Raw genomic sequence first — 22,104 nt, 5'->3', positions numbered from 1 at the left:
GCACTACAAAGCAACTTTTCAGAAAAATAATTTAAAAGTCAAAAAACCCTTCAGGAGGCTTATACCTAATAATAAGGGAAAAACAGAGTGGCTCCTGGCCTGTACAGAGCATAGAGTAAGAGGAAATAGCAGAATGAAAATGCTCATAATAACCCATGGGTTATCCTAAAATTTGAGTAAATTTGATTCACGAGTGATCTTTTGTACATGGGCTCTTCAAATAGAGATGGAGAATCACTACCCCGAATTCTATGGAAAGTGTTCCTTTTGATGAGAATTTAGCAGTGACATCTTAACATAGACAAATAATTTTTGTAGTTATGCTAAAATATTACAAATGGCCCAATCCATCATCTTTTATTTTTTGGGATAAGATTATTTATTTGGCAAACACAAAATTAAGCAGAGAGTAGGAAATAATGGCAGGGATATTTCGATAACTTTTGCTGTTAAAATGTGCTTTGTTCTAAATTTTGTTTTTACACTCTTCCTGTCTGTTCAGTCAAGGAAGGCTTTAAAGGGGACAGAAAAGAATATAATCCACCCAAAAAACAAATATGTGGTTCTTCTTCTTAGTTATTCTAACATTTTATAAACTCGCCATGCCAACATAAGATTCCCATGGATGTATAAGTATTGAAGAAGTGACACATCAATGTAAGTGATTTTTAGTTTTGCTCCCAAGATAAGGCCGGACATTTTCACTTTATTTGCTTTTAAAAGACCACCAGTTTGTTTATATAAAACGTAGCACTAAGCTGTCCTCACTTGGTGCCATTTGTGATGTGGGAAAAGACAAAGGACACTACCAGCCTCATAGCCTGAGTCTCTGAGAAGCCAGCACTCTGGGCAGAATGTCTTCAGGAAGTCTGTAGCTGAAATCTGGTGCTCATATAGGTGTGGGCTGGCTTGGTTTCCCCAGTGCAAAGCTGTCTTCTAGAAATGACTTTAATAATCAGCATGGAAGGTTAAACCTTAATTTTATCCTTCTCCTTCTTCAAAAAGTAACGCAGAGGGTACTTACTTTTCAACCAAAATGAAAGTGTATTACTGAAAATAGTTCTTGAAAGGCTGGTCCCCTAGGTTGCCTGGGAAGGAGGCACGTTTCCCAGGCTGGGATCCCCTGGGTCATGGGGCTGCCTCACCTCCATGCTGGAGGACAGTTGTCTTCATGCAGAAGTTAATGTGTAGCAGCTACATTATTCTTAGTTGAATGAGATTTGTGCAGGTTCCTGTTTAAAGTGCCGTCTTTAATGTCAAATGCAAATGTGTGGGAAAAGACATACTTCTCTCATCGTAAAAAGAGACCCTTCAAAGGCCGAAGAGCTACGATTTTATTTGTGCATTTTCTTTCCCTCATGCCTCAGATGTAACTTTATTTGTGCATTTTCTTTCTGTCGCTATATTTACCACTTCTCCCCAAGTCAGGATTGCATAACCACACAAGGCAGGCTGGGTAATTTCCATGCTGTCAGGCCACTGGGCAAAACACACACATACACACACGCAGTGACACAGACATCAGCAGAAGTCTAATTACTTTCAGGCTTGGATTTCCCGGCCTGCAGCAGCTGCTGTACCTGCCCAGGTCCTGCTTGGGGCTTGCGTGCTTTCCTTCCTCCCCTTCTTGTCCAGCAACCCCTCCGCCACCTGCAGAGGAAACTGGCCCTGGTCGTGGAGACTTCCAGGACCCAGAGAGGAGGAGAAGCAGATTCACTTGCCCCATAAAAGCTTGAGCTCACCAGGGGAGCACCTGTGGAAAACCCTGCTTTTATCATTATATTAAGGACTCAAACCAAAGATCTAAATATGCCCTTTATCTGCTAAGAAAAATCAGAAGGCTGGGAAATTATATCTTTCTGTTATTATGCATCATAAATAATAGAAAGTAAATACTGGCAAAGCATGTTACAAGAAAACACATTGTTTTTGCTAGTTAGCTTGTTGAAATCACTTCAGTTGAAGTTCCACTAATATCCTAAATAAAGGAGCCAAAATAGAGCTTTCAAGGGAACTTCAGTTCTTTTCTGAGGAGTGAGATATTCAGAAATGCTAACTGTCGAATCCCTGATTGTAACTACTTATCAGATAGGAGTGGGGCCAGAAACTTCTTGATTTGGAATGTAAACTCCTTGTTTTGGATGTAATTGAATAACCAGGGAAAGGACTAATGCTAGAGATTGGTTTTTTTTTTTTAATCAAAATCTGGATTGGATTTCATCTTCATTTTTAATCTAGCTGAACTATAGTAACAGCTCTGCTACCTGGAAATCAGGAGAAGGCTATTGAAAGTCTTCATGTTAAGTTATCAGATTTACTTATGTTTGCTCCCCAAAACCTGAAACTTTCTAGAGTTGTTAGTCTAAAGGGAAATTTTTTGACCATGTGAAATGTGTAGACTTTGGGATTGCCCACAAATACCTTCTGTTCTGAGTTTTTAAAGAATTCCACCTGTATGTGATAGTCTCATGGGAGAAATGTAGCCGTTCGTGGCAACAGTGGCATGCAGCTTGAATACTTTAACATTCATGAGCAACCCTAGTGCTAAAATTTTTGTTTTACAATTTTATATTGATACCCATAAGAAAATTAACTAATTGCAGTTTTCTTTTTGTCCTTTTGCACCTCTGTTTGCTGCTTTCTGTCTCTTTCTGTCTCTTTCACATCAGTCACCTGGGCTTGGCACTGACTCATGTCCCTTGTCACCCCCATCCACCCATTGTGCCCCCACATCTCCCACAGAGCTCCGTAGGAGGTGTAAGGAGAATGACTGCAAACTGCCAGGTTATGAGCCGTCCAGAGCTGAGCACCTGCCTGGAGAGCCCGCCTTGGACTCTGATGGCCCAGGGAGGCCTTACCTAGGGGATCAAGATGTGGCTTTTAGCTACAGACAGCAAACTGGCAAGGGGACCACCCTGTTCTCCTTCTCCTTGCAGCTCCCTGAGTCATTCCCCTCCCTCCTAGATGATGATGGATACCTCTCTTTCCCCAACCTTTCTGAAACCAACCTCCTGCCCCAGAGCTTGCAGCATTACCTCCCGATCCGCTCACCGTCCCTTGTGCCCTGTTTCCTCTTCATCTTTTTCTTTCTGCTGTCTGCCTCCTTCTCAGTGCCATACGCTCTCACTCTCTCCTTCCCTCTGGCTCTGTGCCTCTGCTACCTGGAGCCCAAGGCGGCCTCCTTGAGCGCCTCCCTAGACAATGACCCGAGTGACAGTTCAGAGGAAGAGGTGTGTACCTCGGCATAGAACACGCTTCCCCTTCGTGTTCCGTGCTTGAGTCCGAAACAGTGTTAGCTGGCTGCTGCCATAGTGGTCCTACTTTCAGAGCCTCATTTATTGTCTGTGCCAATATGTTGAGGTTTCTGTGTGTTGGGGAGTCCAACCTGGGCCCCAGGGTTAGGCACAACACCATGTGGATGTAGCAGTCTGAGCCCAACCCGGAATCGTTCTGCTACCCACTGAGTTCTACGTGGGATGAAAGACTCAGCCAGAAGTCAATTTTATATAACCCGTCAGCTGTGTAAAAGATCAGGGCTAAGCTAAAGGTTCTGATCAGTTATGGTTTAATAAGGTAAATCACATATAAGACAGATGATGAGTAGTTTTCAACTTAAATGACAGTCAAGGAGAGGTGGAAGAGTGCATCCCCGGAGGGGATGTATCATCATCACCTGGGTAGCTTTCTAAAGTTGCAAAGGTATCTCCTCCCTGGAGATCCTGAAATGTCCCCACCACCCTCTGCTCATCATTGCCAGACAGTCATTGTTACTCACAGAGAGGTCAGTCAATCAGATCCCGCATTGTATTGTGTCAGAGCAGTTTAAAGCACCCACATGACATCAGCCATTGGTAAGGGCAGAAACAAGCCCAGAAGCAACGGCATGCAGTGCAGCAGTGTTCAGACACAATCAGAAAAGGACTAAATTGAAGTTTTCAAACAATGTAAAGGCAGGCTGAAATTTCACCATGCTAGCAATGCCAATGCAGATAATATGACAGCGATTCTTTCAACTGCAGTATGAGTCTCAAAATCCCCCCATTTTCACAGTGTGCTGAGGCTGGGCCTCTATGGCTGCCAGCCAGACATGGACATAGTGGGCGAAAGACCCTGAACTATCAGCCTCCATCCTTGAAGGCATGCTGCTGCAGGGCAGGCTCCTGTCCCCGACTCGAGCAATTGGGCGAGCTGACATGGTAGCCAGTAGTTTTTCCTGTTAATTGTTCTCCTTTCCCACTGCCACACAGCCCAGTGAACAGCCCAGCAGTTTCTCTTTCTCCAGGCTTCAAATAGAGTGCAGGGAAGAATAATAGAAGCTGCCACCAGAGGCCCTGGCTGCTGTCATGCGCGCCCCTCCCCACTCCTCTCCCCAGGCTCCCTGCAGCCCTCCTGTTCCCACAGAACAAGAGCTGTTGTGATAGGAAAAAAGCAAAATACGCTTAGCATTTTTTTTTAAAGTCACAAAGTCAAGGCAATGCTAAAAAAGGAAAGAAAGTCTAAATCTGTGCTCAGCTAGAAAGTCATAATTTGAGCTGCACCTGTGAGTATATAGTATTATATGTTGAGGGTGTGCGAGTATCTATATTTAGTGGAATTATGACCATTTCTTTGCAGCAGAAGGAAAAAAATGTGAATGGTCTCACAGGTGTTTTAAGTAAAAGTCTACACTTTTAATAGATTTTGCATAAGAGACATTTTCAAGGTTCTTGAGTTATATATAACGATTTGCTCCAACTGATATATAAATAACTTTTTATACATGGAAAATATTTTGAGAACTACTTGAAATCCTAGGCTTTAATATCACTATTTCTCATATTGGCAATATTATCAAATAGTGTTGGACTAGAACATATTACAGTTAAGAACACAATATTGTCTACAAATACAATGTTATTATTTATTAGCTGATTTCTAACATGGAGATATATTTTTCCTTTAACAGTCGAGTTAGTCATCAAGCTAACATAAGGCAGAAAAGATTGCTGTTTTATGCTTTTCTAAATTCAAAATAAATATTTCAACTTTTATATAGCAAACCACACAGATCTTGTGCCTAATCCAGGGTATACATCTTGTTGTAATCAGTGCATGAGAATTAATGTTAAACTTGGGCATGTCTGCATTACATTGGCAAAACAAATCACAGCAGTTAATTGTTACAAGCTAGCGAACGTGTGATTGGAGCTTCCCAGTCATAACTGTCCTTGTTATTGCAAACCTCCAAAACCATGAATTAGCACTGACCACTGGAGTCTTCATCACCCTTCTCCGCAGCCCTAGTCAGCCTATATGATAGCTCTCCTGCCATCAGACTCTGTAACTAGCCATCTGTTCAGTGTTGTCTCTTGAAGTGTTAAGAGCTGTGCATTCTAGTTCAGGCTGAGCTAGAGAACTCATATTGAGGTCATTCTGGTCTGTTTTATTTAAATTGCCATTTGCTTACATGGCCTGATTTAATCTCTAGGCCTCAAGCACTGTGGCAGCTACACTGAGTGACTTCTTAACATACAATTCAGCCTTGTCACTTTCGTTTTGCCAAGTCACTACTAATTAATTCTTTTTAAATATTGTATCATCATTGCTTACTTTTTTAACATGTTATGGTGGCTTATTTCCAGCCTTTCTAAGAGTGAAATCCAGTATAAAAAGGCTTCAATATTTCACATTATAAAGCTGTTGACCAGTCATGTTTTTTCTTTTGTACTTTCAGAATGGTCAAATAAGGGGCAGGATATCAAAATATCCTATCAAGAAACATGAGATGAACTTACCTCCCCAAACCATAAAATGCAATTACATGTGTATTTCTGAGTAATTTTTTGATAATACAAAGAAAAATAGAGATAAGTTCAAATAAAGAGGAAGAAAAATTAACTGATTTATAACATTTTAAATTACATAAACAGTATTATATGATAGTTTATGATATGTTATATATTTGCAGTTTTATGTAGTCATCATACATTATAGAAATACCAGTTGCTATAAAAACTGTTTTATTCAGCCTTATTCATTTATTGACTCTTGATCAGGCACTATACTACTGACTGACTGACTAAATGCTAAGTAGGAATTCAAGAAATTTTATATGTGGACTATGCTATTTGTGTATGGCTGAGAAAAATAGGAATAATTATATAATATAATTGTTATAGGCATTTTTTTTTTTTTTTTTTAGCTCTGAGTGTGTCAGGCATTATATAGAGCACTTACTATCCATTACCCAATACAGTTAGGGCTGTTATTTTCCCCATTTTATGGGAAGGAAACTGAGATTAAAATATGAAAAGTGCCCAATGTGCCACAGGTTTGAACAGAAAGGATTTGAGCTCATGTTCATCTGACGTTAAACCTTTCCCTCTTAACGACCACTGTCCCCTAATGCTAAAATGCTTGCAAGTTACTGAAGTAAATTTTAAAACCACAAGGGAAATAAGCTAAATAGGAGGAGAAGCACTTTCAAAAATTTTAGAAGTGTTTGACACAGCTAATTAGAACACTAAATGCAAGTCATTCGAGCTGGGCGCGCGGTGGCTTACCCCTGTAATCCCAATACTTTAGGGGGCCGAGGCAGGCGGATCACTTGAGGTCAGGAGTTTGAGACCAGCCTGGCCAACATGGTGAAACCCTGCCTCTACTAAAAGTACAAAAATTAGCCAGGCATGGTGGCATGCACCTATAGTCCCAGCTAGGACTATAGGGAGTCCTCCCTAGTCCCACTAGGGAGGCTGAGGTGTGAGAATCACTTGAACCCAGGAGGCGGAGGTTGCAGTGAGCCAAGATTGTGCTACTGTGCTCCAGCCAGGGTGACAGAGCGAGACCCTGTCTAAAAAAATAAAACACTAAGTGCAAGTCATTCTTATTTATTCTTGAAAGCCTAAGATCTTTGAGTTATTCTGTACACCTGAACAAATAACTGGTCTCTCTTACTAATTCAAACTGGCCTTTCCCAGGGCTGTCACTCGGTACAGCCATACTAATCCCATAACAACAATCACCTTTATATGAAAATTAACAGCCACCTCCTGCCCCCAGTTGTTAACCAAGCCGGTCAGGTCATGAAAATGGGTCAACACGCTTTCCTTACCAACCTACAGAAAATTATTTTCCACTTAGACTTGGTAGCAAGGGTGCCAGAATGGTGTCCTCAGGTACATGTGCTGAGCATGTGTTCAGCCTCCCTTTCTTTTAGGAGTACGTAACATGAAACATGTGGCTAGTGCCAAGAAATCAGCATAGCCAGAGTTTAGTTTTGTCAGTGGAAACAACACTGTCCCAGTTGCCCCTTCCTGACATTTCTTGTTCTTTGTAGTGGGAGGTTATTTTAAGAACCAGATTCACCATCATAGACTCGCCTCCCATTTTCATTTTTGTTTTCAAAATATTAATCACAGATATTTGATCAAGGGAACTTTATTAATGATTAGTTGATATCTGTGGAGGGAAAGTCAGTTAATATTAGGGCATTTAGATGTCCACAGCTCTACTCTACTCGAGAGAAAACAGTTTTTAAGCCATAAACCCCTGTGAAACAGATTAAAAACCAGTCCTGAAATTACTGTTCTCATTCTCCTCAAAACCTAGGCTCTGTCAAATGCTGTGCTTTGTTTTATTTGTTTCTAAGTAGATGTTTCTCTCTTTCTCTTTCTCTGTCTATTGTTTTAACAATTCTTCTTCTTATTTGCTTCATTTGAATGGTATTTTTGGAGCAAGATGTTCAAATACATACTTTAATATACTTCTTTATATTGGAGGGTGGGGCAAAATAAACATAACATTTAGTCTTAAAAAATACCTAGTTAGCGACGCTACTTGAAAATTGAGTTATGTTTTTCCCATAAAAAATATATGCCTGTGAGTCACTGGCATGTGCCTTTTATAATTGACAGGTAATGCAGACAGCCTGATGGCCCTAGATGGATATAAATTATCATAATGGTATAAATGAGAGGCTGAAAGTCCAGTGACTGTTACAGTAGCTTTTTCTGTAAATTGACATTTTCATTTACCTTTCAAATATGAAATATTACTAGAATAAAATATATATAAACATCAATTTTATTTGCATTAAACATTTTAAGGAGATGTTGCTTGAGGTTTTTAGTTAAAAGTTGGAGGAAGGGTGTGGGGATGACAAATCGGTTTCCCTGAGACATAGAACCAGACAGGTCAGTGTGGCTCCCCAGCTCCTGCAGGCTGAGTGTGCCTCAGGTATTCCTATGAGTTGGCTCTGTTGATGACACCTAGCTCTGGCCCTTCTGTTGCTTTGCTTGAACTTGTGTTCTTGTGAGAAGGTAGTGTGACACAGAGAAATCACAGAGAAAGAAAATGACCTGTCTGACCTGTGCCAGAGCGTGTTTAACCAGATGGTTTACTTTCTGTCCCTGCCTTCCTCCTGGAACCTGATCACTTCTGTGGTCAACAGACTGACAGTGAGCGCACGGACACCGCAGCCGACGGGGAGACCACTGCCACTGAGGTTGGTATTTTGGCTGAGAGTGGCTGGTAGTGGCATACCGAAAATGCCTTGTGGGGTGGCTCTGTGTTTAAGAACTCCACATATGAGCTGTTGTAATGGAGATCAGTTCTAACTTTAACAGTTGGAGTTAAATATGTATTTTGTTGTCTAGACCAGTGGTTCTTAAACTCTGGCCTACATCAGAATTACCTGGAGGATTCCAGCCTCATGTTTCTCATTCAGAAGAGCTGGGGGTGGACTTGAGGATTTATATTTCTAACAAGTTCCCAGGCGATATTGACTCTGCACATCTTAGGACATATTTTGAGAACCACTTGCCTAGACTGATAATACATTTTTTTTTTTTTTAGAAAAAAATTCTATCTCAAATGAGAGGCTACAGATGTATAATAGAATGAATGGGAAGAAGGTCACAATTAACTAGTATTTTGGCTTGATACAGATATATTTTTAATTCCCCAATGGTGAAATAATTATTGTTAAAATAAGACTTACCTGACTCATTTTTGTAGCCTTTGACTGTAGCCTCGGTCACTCATAAGAAATGAATTTTTAAATTACTGTTAGTACTTTATTTTTAAAAAATATAATCACATTAAACAGTGATAGAAGATATACTGTTATTTCTCCTTTTTTCTTTAGGGTTAAAGAAACACATTAAATGTGTGTGTGTGGCTTATATTGTTTTTCAAATCTTCTCTACCATTAAGTAGTTAAAATATCTTTAAAAATAATATCTGTACTAATGGAAGTCAAGACATTTATTGATGTTAATTCGGCTACTTTTTACTAGCAGAATTTAGTTTTTACTTTGTAATAATGTTTATTTTAGGTTGTTTATATGTTTTTTTTTGCATCATCCTATTATAATAATATTTTCTAGTTTGGTATTTAGAAAAAACTAAAAATATTGTAAGTGGTATCTGTATATCACTTAATTGAAAATATCTTCAGAAAAAATCTTTTGCGATGGCGTTTTATTAGGTTTCTTCCTTTAGAAATGCCAGAGTTCAATCCAAAGCTTGAAAATCATAAGTTTTTAACATTAAAGATGATATTGTTAAAACTATTATGCAGATTCTTTTAAGCAATCATATATAAATCTATTACAAGTTGGTAATTTTCTTTGCCAACTATAACAAAGCTACACCTTGATTTTATAAGAGTTAGTTACATGTAGCCACAGGGTAGTACATCCAGTAAATTTCATTGGAATCTTAATGTGTGCTATAAATGAAAAATATTTTAATAATAATACCTTAAACTTCTACAGTAGTTTTAAAATGTATTATGTAACATTTAAAGCATGCAAGGGAGTACCTATAACATAGGTAGGCTTTGAAGCTTAAAAATAAAATGAAGAGCTGTGAACCCCCTATGCACTGAAGAATGGGTGTGTCACCAGCACATTAGCACTGTGTTTAAATTTCCTGTTTGCCCCGTGATACTGATGAAACTCTGTCCCATCTATAGGTGGCCAGCACAACAGTGGTCAGTGTAGAATATGAAGAGTAAGCAGTCTTGTCCCATTGGCAAATAAGAAGAGGGAGACCTAGATAGACTAAATGATTTTCTTAAGGCACCTGACTCAGTGTGATCCTTTTCTCACCTAGAATTTCATTCTGGGTCTCCTCTTCTAGCACAAGGGCATAAAGCCCCAGTCCTGAGTCCAAGAGCCATAGTGAGAGACACAGCTTTGCTGCTACATGCACATGTGGCTTGGCCTGCTTACTAATTACTGATACTCAGAAAGCAGTCCAGGGATTAGACCACTCCTTGAAATTAGAAAAATCAGGAGAATGAGGTGGCTTTGGGATAACTGTATTTTTTCAAATTTCAAAAATTGTCCCATCTAAAACCTTTAAAAGAAATCATGCTGTTGTTAATAGTAGCTGACTTCTTTTAAAAAAAAAAAAAAACTTTCTTAGTTGCCCCATATTTGTCTTCTCCCCTCCCAAATTTGTTTTTAACTATATACATTCAAGAAAATTGGCTGGGCGTGGTGGCTCACTCCTGTAATCCCAGCACTTTGGGAGGCTGAGGCGGGCAGATCACTTGAGGTCAGGAGTTCAAGACTAGCCTGGTGAACATGGTGAAACCCTGTCTCTACTAAAAATACAAAAAATTAGCTAGGCATGGTGGCAGGCGCCTGTAATCCCAGCTACCTGGGAGGCTGAGGCAGGAGAATTGCTTGAACCCAGGAGGTGGAGGTTGCAGTGAGCCGAGATCACGCCATTGCACTCCAGCCTGGACAACAAAGCGAGACTCTGTCTCAAAAAAAAAAAAAAAAAAGAAAAAAGAAAAGAAAATCAAGGTCTCAAGAAACTTTAAAATGTGGGAACCTCTGTGTAAAATTCTTCATATTCTTTGAGCATGGGTTCTCTGGTCTACAAATTGGGAATCATAATCACTAACCTCATAGGGCGGGATTCATACACTACATGTGAGCTCTCATTATTGTGTCATCATAGCTATTCTTACAAATTTTAATTTTAATCTGGCTCCCCCCACTTCCTGAACTATTTCTAATGTTCATCAAGAACAACCTGCCACACCCTTGCTGTCACCTTCTCAACCACGTGTGTCTGCTGGTCAAAATGCCAAAGACCCACCAGGCAAGAATTCTTCCACTCCTATATTCCTATATTCTTATTAAGCTTCCTAATTGTGTGTGAGAATGTTGTGGTTTGTGTATAAGAAAGAAGTGGCATCCATATGCAAGAGCGTACACGTGCCCACATTTAGCAAGTCTATGTAGACCATAGTTCTTCAATCTTAGAGTAAATTGCATGTAAGACTTTATTTCCCACTCTTTCTTGATGCTGGCAGTCGGACCAGGAGGAAGATGCAGAGCTCAAGGCACAGGTAGAAAATTAAAAATAAAACAAACAACAACAACAACAAAACAACAGTGTGTGATAAGTCATTGTTTGTCTACAGCGTTCAGATCTTTCAGCATGCTCTGTAGCTGGTTACCATGTTGTTGGTGCAGTGTGTAGGTTGGCATTTGTTCCCTTGACAACTGTGTCCTTTACTTTTCCCTTTCTTCTCCACTTTTTTCAGAATAGTCTGATTAAACGAATAAAGGGTGAAAATGTGTATGTCAAACATAGTAATCTTATGTTAGAGGTTGGTATTGGTATATACCAGTGCATGTCTGTGTGTGTTGTTTTTCTTTTAGTGTAATACCTGTGGGCTCGTATTGTGATGCATGAACTGTGTGCTCATCCATTAATAAGTGGGGATGACTTCTCAGCTTCTGATTTGTTATTCGCTCCTAGATATAGATCCCTTTTCCTGTGTGTATATTTATTTTAATTCTCTCAGGATACATGTGAATTGTACTCTTTATAGTTTGCCTTCTAAAATTCTTTTGGTATCCATGTTTGTGTGAACTAGATTTTTTTTTCTGTTTCCTTTCCATGGGAAAATCACATTTTCACCAGAGTGTTTGTGGTAGTGCCATGAGCCTTGATCAAAATTTTGTTTTATTTTGACTACTAATAAGATTGACATTACTTTTAAAGCAAACAAAAGAGCTGAAAGGAACACAAATGTAAAACATTGACTGTTGGATACTTTATGTTCTGAATATAGGAGCTAGAAAAAACTCAAGATGACCTGATGAAACATCAAACCAACATTAGCGAGCTGAAAAGAACCTTCTTAGAAACCTCAACAGACACTGCCGTAACGAATGAATGGGAGAAGAGGCTTTCCACCTCCCCCGTGCGACTGGCCGCCAGGCAGGAGGATGCCCCCATGATCGAACCACTTGTCCCTGAAGAGGTCAGTAGTCAGGTTTGTGGTCAGACTCGTATTCTGTTTACCCGCCTTCCTTCTCTACAGGGTGTGGAATTGCATTTGACAGTCTTCTGGGTAGAAAATCTCTCTTCCTACCTATGTTTAACCTGAGCTGAGATGCTCAGTGCTCCAACAGAAAACTGCAAAATAAAATGGTTAAAGTGGCTGAGGAGTGAGTAATAGCATCAGATGGTTCTTAGGGCGGGAAGCCACAGGGAGACTATCGTGAAAAATCAGCTGATTCTGACCATAAACCTAGATTTATAGCTGAGAGAAATCAGGGTATTCTCTTCATGCATTGACACTTTTTCCGCATATGCTTTCTACTTTTGCTTGAGGCCCATTGAGATTGTTTGACTAAATGGTAACCTGAAGTTGATAGCATTTCAGGACAATTTTACTCTGAGATATTACACCAGGCTTTTATTGATATAACAAGAGTTTTATTTGATTTTTATTTATAACTGATTATCTTAATTGATTTATATTACGTTTTTTGTTTTTTGTTTTTAAGACAGTGTCTTGCTGTGTCACCCAGGCTGGAGTGCAGTGGGGTGATCTTGTCTCACTGTAGCCTCCGCCTCCCAGGTTCAAGTGATTCTCCTGCCTTGGCCTCCCAAGTAGCTGGGACTATAGATGCCCTTCACCACACCGGGCTAATTTTTGTATTTTTAATAGAGACGGGGTTTTGCCATGTTGGCCGGGCTTAAGACCACTTAAGTTTTCCCACTTAAGACCAAACTCCAGGTCTTAAGTGATCCACCCACCTTGGCCTCCCAAAGTGTTGGGATTACAGGCGTGAGCCATCGCACCTGGCCAAATTTATAATCGGTTCCTAGTAGATGTTTTATGGGGAAAGTAGTGGCCAGAAATTTTTTTTTTTAAGTAAGGTTATTTCACACTCTTTGGCTGTACATTTAAAGAGATTTTTTTTTTTTTTTGAGACATAGTTTTTTTTGTTTTTGTTTGTTTGTTTGTTTGTTTTTGAGATGGTGTTTCTCTCTGTCGCCCATGCTGAAGTGCAGTGGTGTGACCTCCGCCTCCTGGGTTTAAGTGATCCTCCTGCCTCAGCCTCCTGGGTAGCTGGGACTACAAGCAGGCACCACCACACTTGGCTAATTTTTTTGTATTTTTAATAGAAGTGGGATTTCAACATGTTGGTCAGGCTGATCTCAAACTCCTGACCTCAAAAGATTCACCACCTCAGCCTCCCAAGGAAGCTCTTTTTAAATGTACAACCAAAGACTCTGAGGATTCAGCTGGTGTTACTTCAGGGCTCCCATTGTGTGGGAACCAAAAATTACTGTAGTGCTAACTTGACTGTCTACTGTTAGACATCATGTTGCTTTATCTCTGTTTCAACAAAAGTAGTTTTTGAAAACTGCATCTTTTTTAGCATTGTATTGGTTAACCTTTTCTGTAAGACCACTTTATGGGGAAATATCTGTTCAGGAAGCTGACACAGAATGGAACATTAAAACTTAGGCTTTGGTGAGAGAAAAATTCTTTAAACAGTGGTCTATATGCAGTGCTTAAGTCCTTGCAGTAAAAATAAGAATTCAATTACACTTATTGTTGATCATGTTCTAAACCTTTGAAAGCTGTTTATCAAAAGTAATCAAGAACTCATTATCACTATGTTCATGACAATCCCAAACCTAGCTAATAAGAAATAGGTCTATATCCATTTGAATGACTTAAAAAGGACCCTTTTATGCAGAATAAGTGAAAAGTACGACTACCACCATATTCTTGTACCATTACACTTCAGTTCCATTCAAACTACTGAGTTTCAAGAGACAAATTTCACATTGATTGATTTAAATATAATAGTCCTTACAATATTCAGTTATGCTCTCATGAATTTTATTGTAATTGGTTAAGTTTGGCTTATCCTATTTCTACTACCTCTTTTGGAAATAATTTACTGGCTCTAAAGATATCAGATACTGGATTAAGTTACAAAAACACAAACTAAATAGCCAACCCAAACAAAACAAAACAGAGCAAAACTAAATGCTAAGTGATCGCCACTTTGAATGAAAGTTTAGGGAACAACTTAGAGAATTTAAAGGGTGGTGCTGATAAACAAGGGAACTTCATAAGTCCAGGCTATTAGACTAGTAAGATATGTTTTTTTTACATTTATAATACCCTAAACATTAGAGAATTAACATTTGATAAGCCCAAGGATGTTAATAATTTAAGGAGTACTTTGAATATACTGAACTTTCCCTGGATATTAATGCTTTTTCTGTGTTAGTGCAGAAAAACTGGAGAACGCCAGGAAAGGATTTTTTCAGCATAATTAAGGAAGAAAAACATGCCCTCTGCAGAATGGCAAAGCAGTTTGGTTATTTAAACTGGAGAAGAGCAAAGGCTGGCATACTCACTGCTTTCAGCGTCTGCAGGGTTGTTTTGTAGTCCCTCAGTGCTCCGTCACACTGTGAATGGAGACATAGCAGAAAGAGCTTGACTAGATATAGAGAACTTGTTAGAAACAGGGCTGATTAACCCTGCTTATCAAAGGAGCCCTGAAAAGCATCTCAAAGGAGCTTCAAGTCCCAGGGGAAAAGGGATCTCTTTAGGTGTCAGGGTGCTGTGCTCCCCATGGCAGCAGGGCCAGGCAGAGTGGCCTGTCCTCTCTTCTACTCTTCTCCAGGACCTCATAGTCATCGATGACATCAAGTTTATACTCCAATTGAGGGCCCTGTAGGTAGCCTTCAGAACAAACCAGAAAGTTCTTTTGCTCTAAATTATTGCCTATTTCTATATTAAAACCATGGCTTCTGTTATTTTTGTGTGTGAAAAGCACAAAAGATAATTTTATCCTTTTTTTAATTGTTTGTATGTTATGCACATAGAAAACATACTGGTTTATAAATATATAACCAAACGATTTTTATTTTGGAGGGGATATTTTTTAAAATAAGTTACTAATTTGATATTACTCTATTTTATAATAAAGCCTACTTCAATTAAACAGTAGTCAACCAGTTTAGAAAGAAATCCAGTTACTTCCAAATGGAAATATTTAACTCAATTTTTAAAATTGACATCTCTAATAAAGTAGTGGTTATTTTGTGTCAGAATCAGAAAGAAACTTAGATTTGGTGACCCCAAACTTATGACTTCCCAAAGCTTAGTTGTTGTTGTTTTTTTTTTTTTTTTGGTCTCAGTGACAAAATGGTACTTTGAAGAAAAAAACTAAAGATTTCTTGAGTTTTAATGTTACCATCTTTTTTCTTTATACTGTTGTATCTATAGTAGTTAAATTGTTATAATAATTATTTCTATAAAATGCTACCAATTTATGAACAATTCAAAGAAAATTATAGTTAGAATTATATACAGCAAGCTAATAATGATGTTATGTTCTGAGAATTTTATGTTTGTTTCCTATATAAAATGGAAAATTTGATTGCCGATTGTTTCAAGTTTCAGATATTTGAGTTAACAGCAGACAAGTAGCAAGGATGCCCCAAAGCAGCAAATAATATCTAAATCTCATTTGCTTTAGAAAATAGGCAAATAAACCCACACACAGGGCCCACCAAACATAGGAAGGGTAGACATGTGGTATGTACAGCGTGCCAGGTACATCCTCTGTCCACAGACCTTTCCCATGACAGACTTTCATGATGCATCTAAGCCTTGTCCATGTTAGAGTTATATTCCTTAGTGGTTACTTGAATACCAAAAGTTTCCAAATCACAGTAAAAAAGCAGTATCTGCTAGTATGTATTCTGCGCCGATATTGTCCTCTCTTTCATATGAGTGATAGTTTTACAGGCGTGTTCACTGTACAGTAATTCCTTGAGCTAGATGATTACTATAGTCAGTTCCCATGATTTGCAAATTCTGTATTTGCAAATTTACCCATTCCCTAAATTTTATTTGTAGAAACCTTTAATCACCCAACAGGAAATGACACTGTTATGAATTTTGTGCGCCAGTATAGGGCCTTGTTTTCCAATTATGATATTAAGATTAATAACTTATAATGTTTAAGTAACTAAATGAAATGGTTGGGCTATATATCTGACTATATCCTAACCCCTGATAAAAGTGAATTTTTAGATCACCTTTTCTTTATCAGTACCTCTTCACTTCTCTATTAACTAGGCTAACTGTATTGGGAGGTTGACCATATACAGAATTACATTTTAAAATCTCCCTATGTTACCTGTTTATGTTATTGGACATACACAGTTTGGAATGTAGACACTGTTAATATTTTCAATTATAAGACAGAGGCATTTTTTAAATTAGTTGGTTTCAGACACCAGGATATGCTGAAAACCACTGTTTCGCTGGGGGTTTTGTGAAGCTTTTATCTTAGGAATAATATTTAGCTCAGTGATTATAATTAGAGACCTAGCACTGTTATTCTGAAAAGTACCTATAATTTTGACCTTTCCTTCCTGTTTCTCATTTCTGTTTGCAAAAGAGGCTATGATTAAAAGCAAAAAAAAAAGGAAAAGAAACAAAATCCACATTTAATGATTCCACATGGTACATTTTATCTTTTCCAATACCGTCCTCCAAAATGCAGTGGGATAGAGATTTTTGTTGTTGTTGGGTTTTTTTTTTTCCTCCTCTGAAAATGGCTTGTTTCTCATTAGAAAGAGTCATTTGAGAATGATACTATCAAAATCTGTCAGGGTAGGTCCTGCAGAATATTCCAGATGTTCCCCTACAATCTCTTGCAAACAAATGATTAAATGTAGTACTGGTAGATTTTTAGACAAAAAGAAATTTTAAATAGCTCTCATAAAATTACATTGTTTGTAATGATAAGATGTATTTTAAAAGTTCCATTCTTCTAGAAACCTTGAACTTTCCATCGTTATTTTTCAGTTAATCTTCCAGAATATCCTTTCTGTCCCTGCTCTGTGAAGTTGAACGCTTGGTTCAACTTAGGCTTGGTAGCTAATGTATTGCCACCTGAATTGTGCCTATTTAATACTAGAGAAAAAAATAAAAAGAAGTTAAAAAGCAAAAACCTAATTCCTAACATGAAATACTTAATATTTCTTAATTTTTTATGTTAAAGTATGAATTGATATACTTAATTTTCCAGCAAGATATTTTGAAATTGACTTTAAAAAATTATTAACCATGTTATAAAAGTTCAAATAAAGCCATTGAGTATTTTTTCTTTATTTGTGGGCAATAAATCAATCCATCTAAGTATAACTGGGTTTATTTAAATTAGTGGCTAATGCAGTGACATTGTATGCATTTCACTACTCTGTAACAGGCAGCACCTAAATGGGGAATACAATAAGATACTTGTCAGAAATAGAAATTTTAAATTTTTAAAAATTTCTTAATGTTTTATTTTAAATACCCACTTTTTGATACCAACATAAACATGGTTTAAATGCCAAGAACGAATACCTTTATATTGTTCTTGTATGCTCTGTGTTTGTAGAAATGAAGAACATTTGAGTTATATAAACACCAAAGTTAACCCCAAAGTTTCAGAAAATCTGAGCTCTTTGGAAAAAACTAAATTTTGAGGTAGTTTCAGATCATTTTTCAAATGCATAAACAATAATTTACTCCTTCAGGAAGAAAATGAATGAATATTATGAGAATATATGAGATGATAGATAGATAGAGATAATACAATGAAAGAACTCCCTTCCTAACTTGCCTTTTTGGAAACTGTCTACTTCCTCTTCTCCAACCCAACCCCCTTTATTCAAACAGACCAAAGAAGAAACAGAGATTTCTGAAAAAGTTATATTTTTGCAGCAAGGAAGCGCTCCATTCCTTGAGTCTCAGGTAAAAACCAAACATAAAGGATTTTCCAGAAGAAATTGGTCTTCAGACTTCAGTGTCATTAAAATGCTCTTAGTTTTTATTTTCCCTTTAACATTTATCTTGTTTAAAACCAAGGTAGGTACATAATTTTGATTTAGATTCTGGGGAAGGGAAAATTGAATTTTCTTAATATTTTAGTTATCAGTTATGCATCATTTCTTCATGGCTTCTAATCCAAGCTGATTTTTCTCTGTATGTTGTCATTGACTTACTTTCTGATAATAATCTTGCTGAAATGTTGTTTTACTGCCTGTTTTTACCTGTAGAGTCGTGCTAATTTAGATGAAGTTGACTGATTTTGAAAGTTCTGAATTCTTATTGGTTTCCCCACTAGCCAAGTGTGATAAAGAAAATGCAGGAAGGAGACTCTGCTGACTCTGTGGTTACTTCTCGTCAAATAATTTTCCAGAAAACTGTCCCATCAACCCTAGAGGTTATTCTTTCAATTCATTTCATTTAATCTAGCAACAACATGTAGATCAATCTGTAGTGGTATTTTTAAAGGCACACGTATTTCTAGATTTAAGTTTTCAGGCTGTAAAAAACAGAAAAGTTTCTAGAAAACATTCTAGTTTAAAATGTAAACCAGGGCACTCACCTGCTCCTGGTTTGATATCTCTTCCCTCTGTAATCTGTGAAGCTATTAACCTACCTGGTCATATTGTATTATGCCTCCCTGAATACAAAAGTTTCTTAGCTTTCCTTTCTTTTGCCTTATTGGAACTAACACTAAAGAAAGTGAGAGAGAAACTCCTGAGACAGTGAACTTCAGTTGTAAATAAGATTGGAGCGGGCACAATGGCATGTGCCTGTAGTCCCAGCTCCTGGGGAGGCTGAGATGGGAGGATCACTTGAGCCCAGGGGTTCGAGGCCGACCTGGGCAACATAGGGAGACCCCATCTTTTAAAAAAAAAATGTAAGACTCGAACACTGTACAGATCACTGTAAGAGGCTCTAATAGTGTCCTATTTGTGGGAAATATTTCATTACAATGCCTTGAACACAGTCACACTCAATATTTATTGAATAATAAGTGCTATTATGGATTCATTTCCCTGTATAAAGAAATACAATTTACAAATATGGAAAATATTTACATAAATTTGTAGAATGTTGGGAAGCTCTCTGTGATAACAGTATATGAAGTATAGATTATATTTAACGAGGAAAACTTTTATCCCCACACATGTAAAGCTAAGTAACTTATAGAGCAACATCAATAATGTTATTTAATCTTGAAATATAAAATGATCCAAAATTTATCATAAGAGCAAATCTGTTCTTCAAAAAATTTACTGCAAAGTATGTTCCAGTTTAAAGAAGTTGCAACTCTACCTACCGAATGTATTCTGAGCTGAAGTTTATAGTTTATCATTTCAGAGGAGAAGAGATTGCAGCCATAATTATTAGATAATAACATGAGCACTGTATGGTCCCATCACAGACCTGCATGTAGCAGTTGCCCTGATTTTCTTAAAGGATTCTTATTTTAGAAATGAGATACCATCAGAATTTCTAATTTAGCTTTTATATTTCAAATATAGGGCACAGAGGATTGGGTTATTGTAGACAGAATACCAACTGAGGTAGTTGATGGTGATTTGAAAAAGATTGTGACTTACAAGGTGGTGACCGTGAGCAGTAAAACTGGTGATCTCCCAGCTGACATGTTAAAATCTGGCACTATTAAAATGCAAAGCTTCGAAGAATTGGCTCGAGAAATGCAACTGAAAGAAGACAGCAAACAGAAAATATACACTCTAGGAAAATCCTATGACACTGTCTCCGGGAGAATTGTTACTATGACTGGGAAAGCTAAAGAGGGTGAGAAAGTGGAGCAGCCCTCCACTACAGAAGCACTTCAGAAAATGGAGAAAGAAATACCAGAGTCCATGAAGATCATTCCCGGCCTGGCAGAATATGAGGTCCTGGAAACCCTCGCTGATGAGAAATCCAAGAGAGGACCAGAGGTCCAGACGACACAGCGGAAATTGTCCGAATCCCTGGCCCCCATCAAGGAGGCCGAGTCTCGCCGGCAGAGTCCTGAAGAAGATGACCTCAAGAAGGCTCCACAGCTGGAGAAGGATGTGGCCGTCCTCCCTGGCCTGGAAGGCAGACGCTTCAGCAAAACAGAGCAAGTGCCCGAGAGTGAGGTCTTAAAAGTGGGCCTCTTTGGTCCCCGAAGGAAGAGCCTGTCCGAATGGAGATATTCCCAGGAACCAGCCTTTACCGTTGCTACTGCCCATTACGTTACTGAGTCATCCGCCTCCCGAGTAGTGGTAACCAGTGTCACTCATTGGGGCCACAGTTTGCAATTCCAGCATGACAGTTTTTGAGGCAGTCCCCTTCCACCCCAAACCTTTCCGTTTCTCTTGCTGCTTGGCTTTATGTTGAGAGCAGCCAACCCAGCTTCTTAATTTTTTTTCATGGTTAAATCAATACCGCAGTGCAAAGTCAGCATTAAAACACTTTCCATTTTATTTCCAGCTCCCTGTTCCCAAGATGTGATAGTGCTGCTGTGGCTTGCAATGAAGGGGAAAAAATATATATATCTGCTTAAATCGGCGCCACCCTGATCCTAATAACCGTCTCTGCTTTACCAAACAAGAGCACCTGGTTTTCTATTTTATTTCCCATTCTTTTCGTTTCCAAACTCTGAGATTCCTTCGTTCTTCCTCCTCCCTGTCTCCTCTGCCTACGATTTTGTCTAACAAGCTGTGAATGTTTATGTGCCTGAGTTTGTGTCTCTCTTTTGTGCTTGACTCTGCCTCTCTTTGTTCACTCAGACTAAGCAGTCTTCTGGGGAAAAGCTCATGGATGGCTCTGAAATCTTCAGTTTATTAGAGTCTGCGCGAAAACCAACAGAATTCATAGGAGGGGTTACTTCTACTTCTCAAAGCTGGGTTCAGGTGGCCATTTGTTTTCGTCCTTGGTGTTTCTGAATGTGCCCATGTGCCTTTCCTTACCCTTTTTTTGGGCGTGAGTGTGTGGTTGCATCCAGCTGGCTTTGCCTTCAACATCTCAAAGGTGTCTTCACTTATTGTCCTTTGTGTCTGCTTGGCATATCTGTCACATGCCTTTAGTTGCATCTCAAGAATGTACTTCACTATTCGAAAGGCGATCATATTGAGAAATTTTAATAGAATTAAATATCTAAAAGCATTATGTCTCACCAGTTGAGTCTAAGAAAGCAGCCAAAACCAACGTGAATGCGCTGCAATGCTTTGGTTTTTGTTTTGTTAATTGCACTTTATCCTGCCTTCCGTTTGTTTTGCGGATGTCCTGAAGCAGCAGCGCAGGTTCAAGTGCATGCACCAGGGGCAGGGGCAGGCATCAGAGATTTCAGTGGGAGAAATGAAAGCTAATTTATATTTTTCGTCAGTGTTTCTGGTTATAAGCACTTGCTGCTGGCTTTAGACATCCTGGCGAGTGGCAGCTTTAGTTATTTTCTGACCTTTGGTTTATGGATGGTCACACTGATGCCACAATCTCTTCCCATGCAGAAAATGGAAACCAAGACGGAGTCCAGTGGAATAGAGACGGAACCCACCGTGCACCACCTGCCGCTTAGCACTGAGAAGGTGGTGCAGGAGACCGTGTTGGTGGAGGAGCGGCGTGTGGTGCACGCGAGTGGGGATGCTTCTTACTCGGCGGGAGACAGCGGGGATGCTGCAGCACAGCCCGCATTCACAGGCATTAAAGGGAAAGAGGGCTCTGCCTTGACGGAGGGGGCTAAAGAGGAAGGAGGGGAGGAGGTCGCTAAAGCTGTCCTGGAACAGGAAGAGACAGCCGCTGCTTCCCGTGAGCGACAAGAGGAGCAGAGTGCAGCCATCCACATTTCAGAAACTTTGGAACAAAAACCTCATTTTGAGGTAACTAGTAGTAAATGTTACTTTTATCACTAAAATAAAACTGATATAGGATGCCTGGAAATTTAGATCAGCATAAAGGTGGAGCTAAGTTTAATTTTCTGCCTCTCCCATGTA

General features: G+C 38.8%; 1 protein-coding gene across 61 annotated transcripts in view; it reads left to right on the top strand.

The window, feature by feature from the left end:
- EPB41L3 (erythrocyte membrane protein band 4.1 like 3) overlaps positions 1 to 22,104 on the top strand; it is a 238,278-nt gene that overhangs the window by 211,616 nt on the left and 4,558 nt on the right. For 15 of the 61 annotated variants that reach the window (NM_001384705.1, NM_001384700.1, NM_001384701.1 and 12 more), the window contains exons 13-17: positions 8,429 to 8,482; positions 11,312 to 11,347; positions 12,080 to 12,271; positions 20,905 to 21,027; positions 21,622 to 21,990. In NM_001384705.1, the coding sequence (NP_001371634.1) occupies positions 8,429 to 8,482; positions 11,312 to 11,347; positions 12,080 to 12,271; positions 20,905 to 21,027; positions 21,622 to 21,990 (774 nt within the window). Of the gene's footprint in view, positions 1 to 2,669; positions 3,231 to 8,428; positions 8,483 to 11,311; positions 11,348 to 12,079; positions 12,284 to 18,004; positions 18,080 to 20,904; positions 21,028 to 21,621; positions 21,991 to 22,104 lie in introns of all 61 variants that reach the window. The other 46 variants (XM_047437384.1, NM_001384683.1, NM_001281535.2 and 43 more) reach the window with 17 other exon arrangements.

Source organism: Homo sapiens, chromosome 18 (genome assembly GCF_000001405.40).
Source record: "Homo sapiens chromosome 18, GRCh38.p14 Primary Assembly".
NCBI lineage: Eukaryota > Metazoa > Chordata > Mammalia > Primates > Hominidae > Homo > Homo sapiens.
Note: the sequence above shows the minus strand (reverse complement) of the source record. Positions and strands in the feature narration are given on the sequence as shown.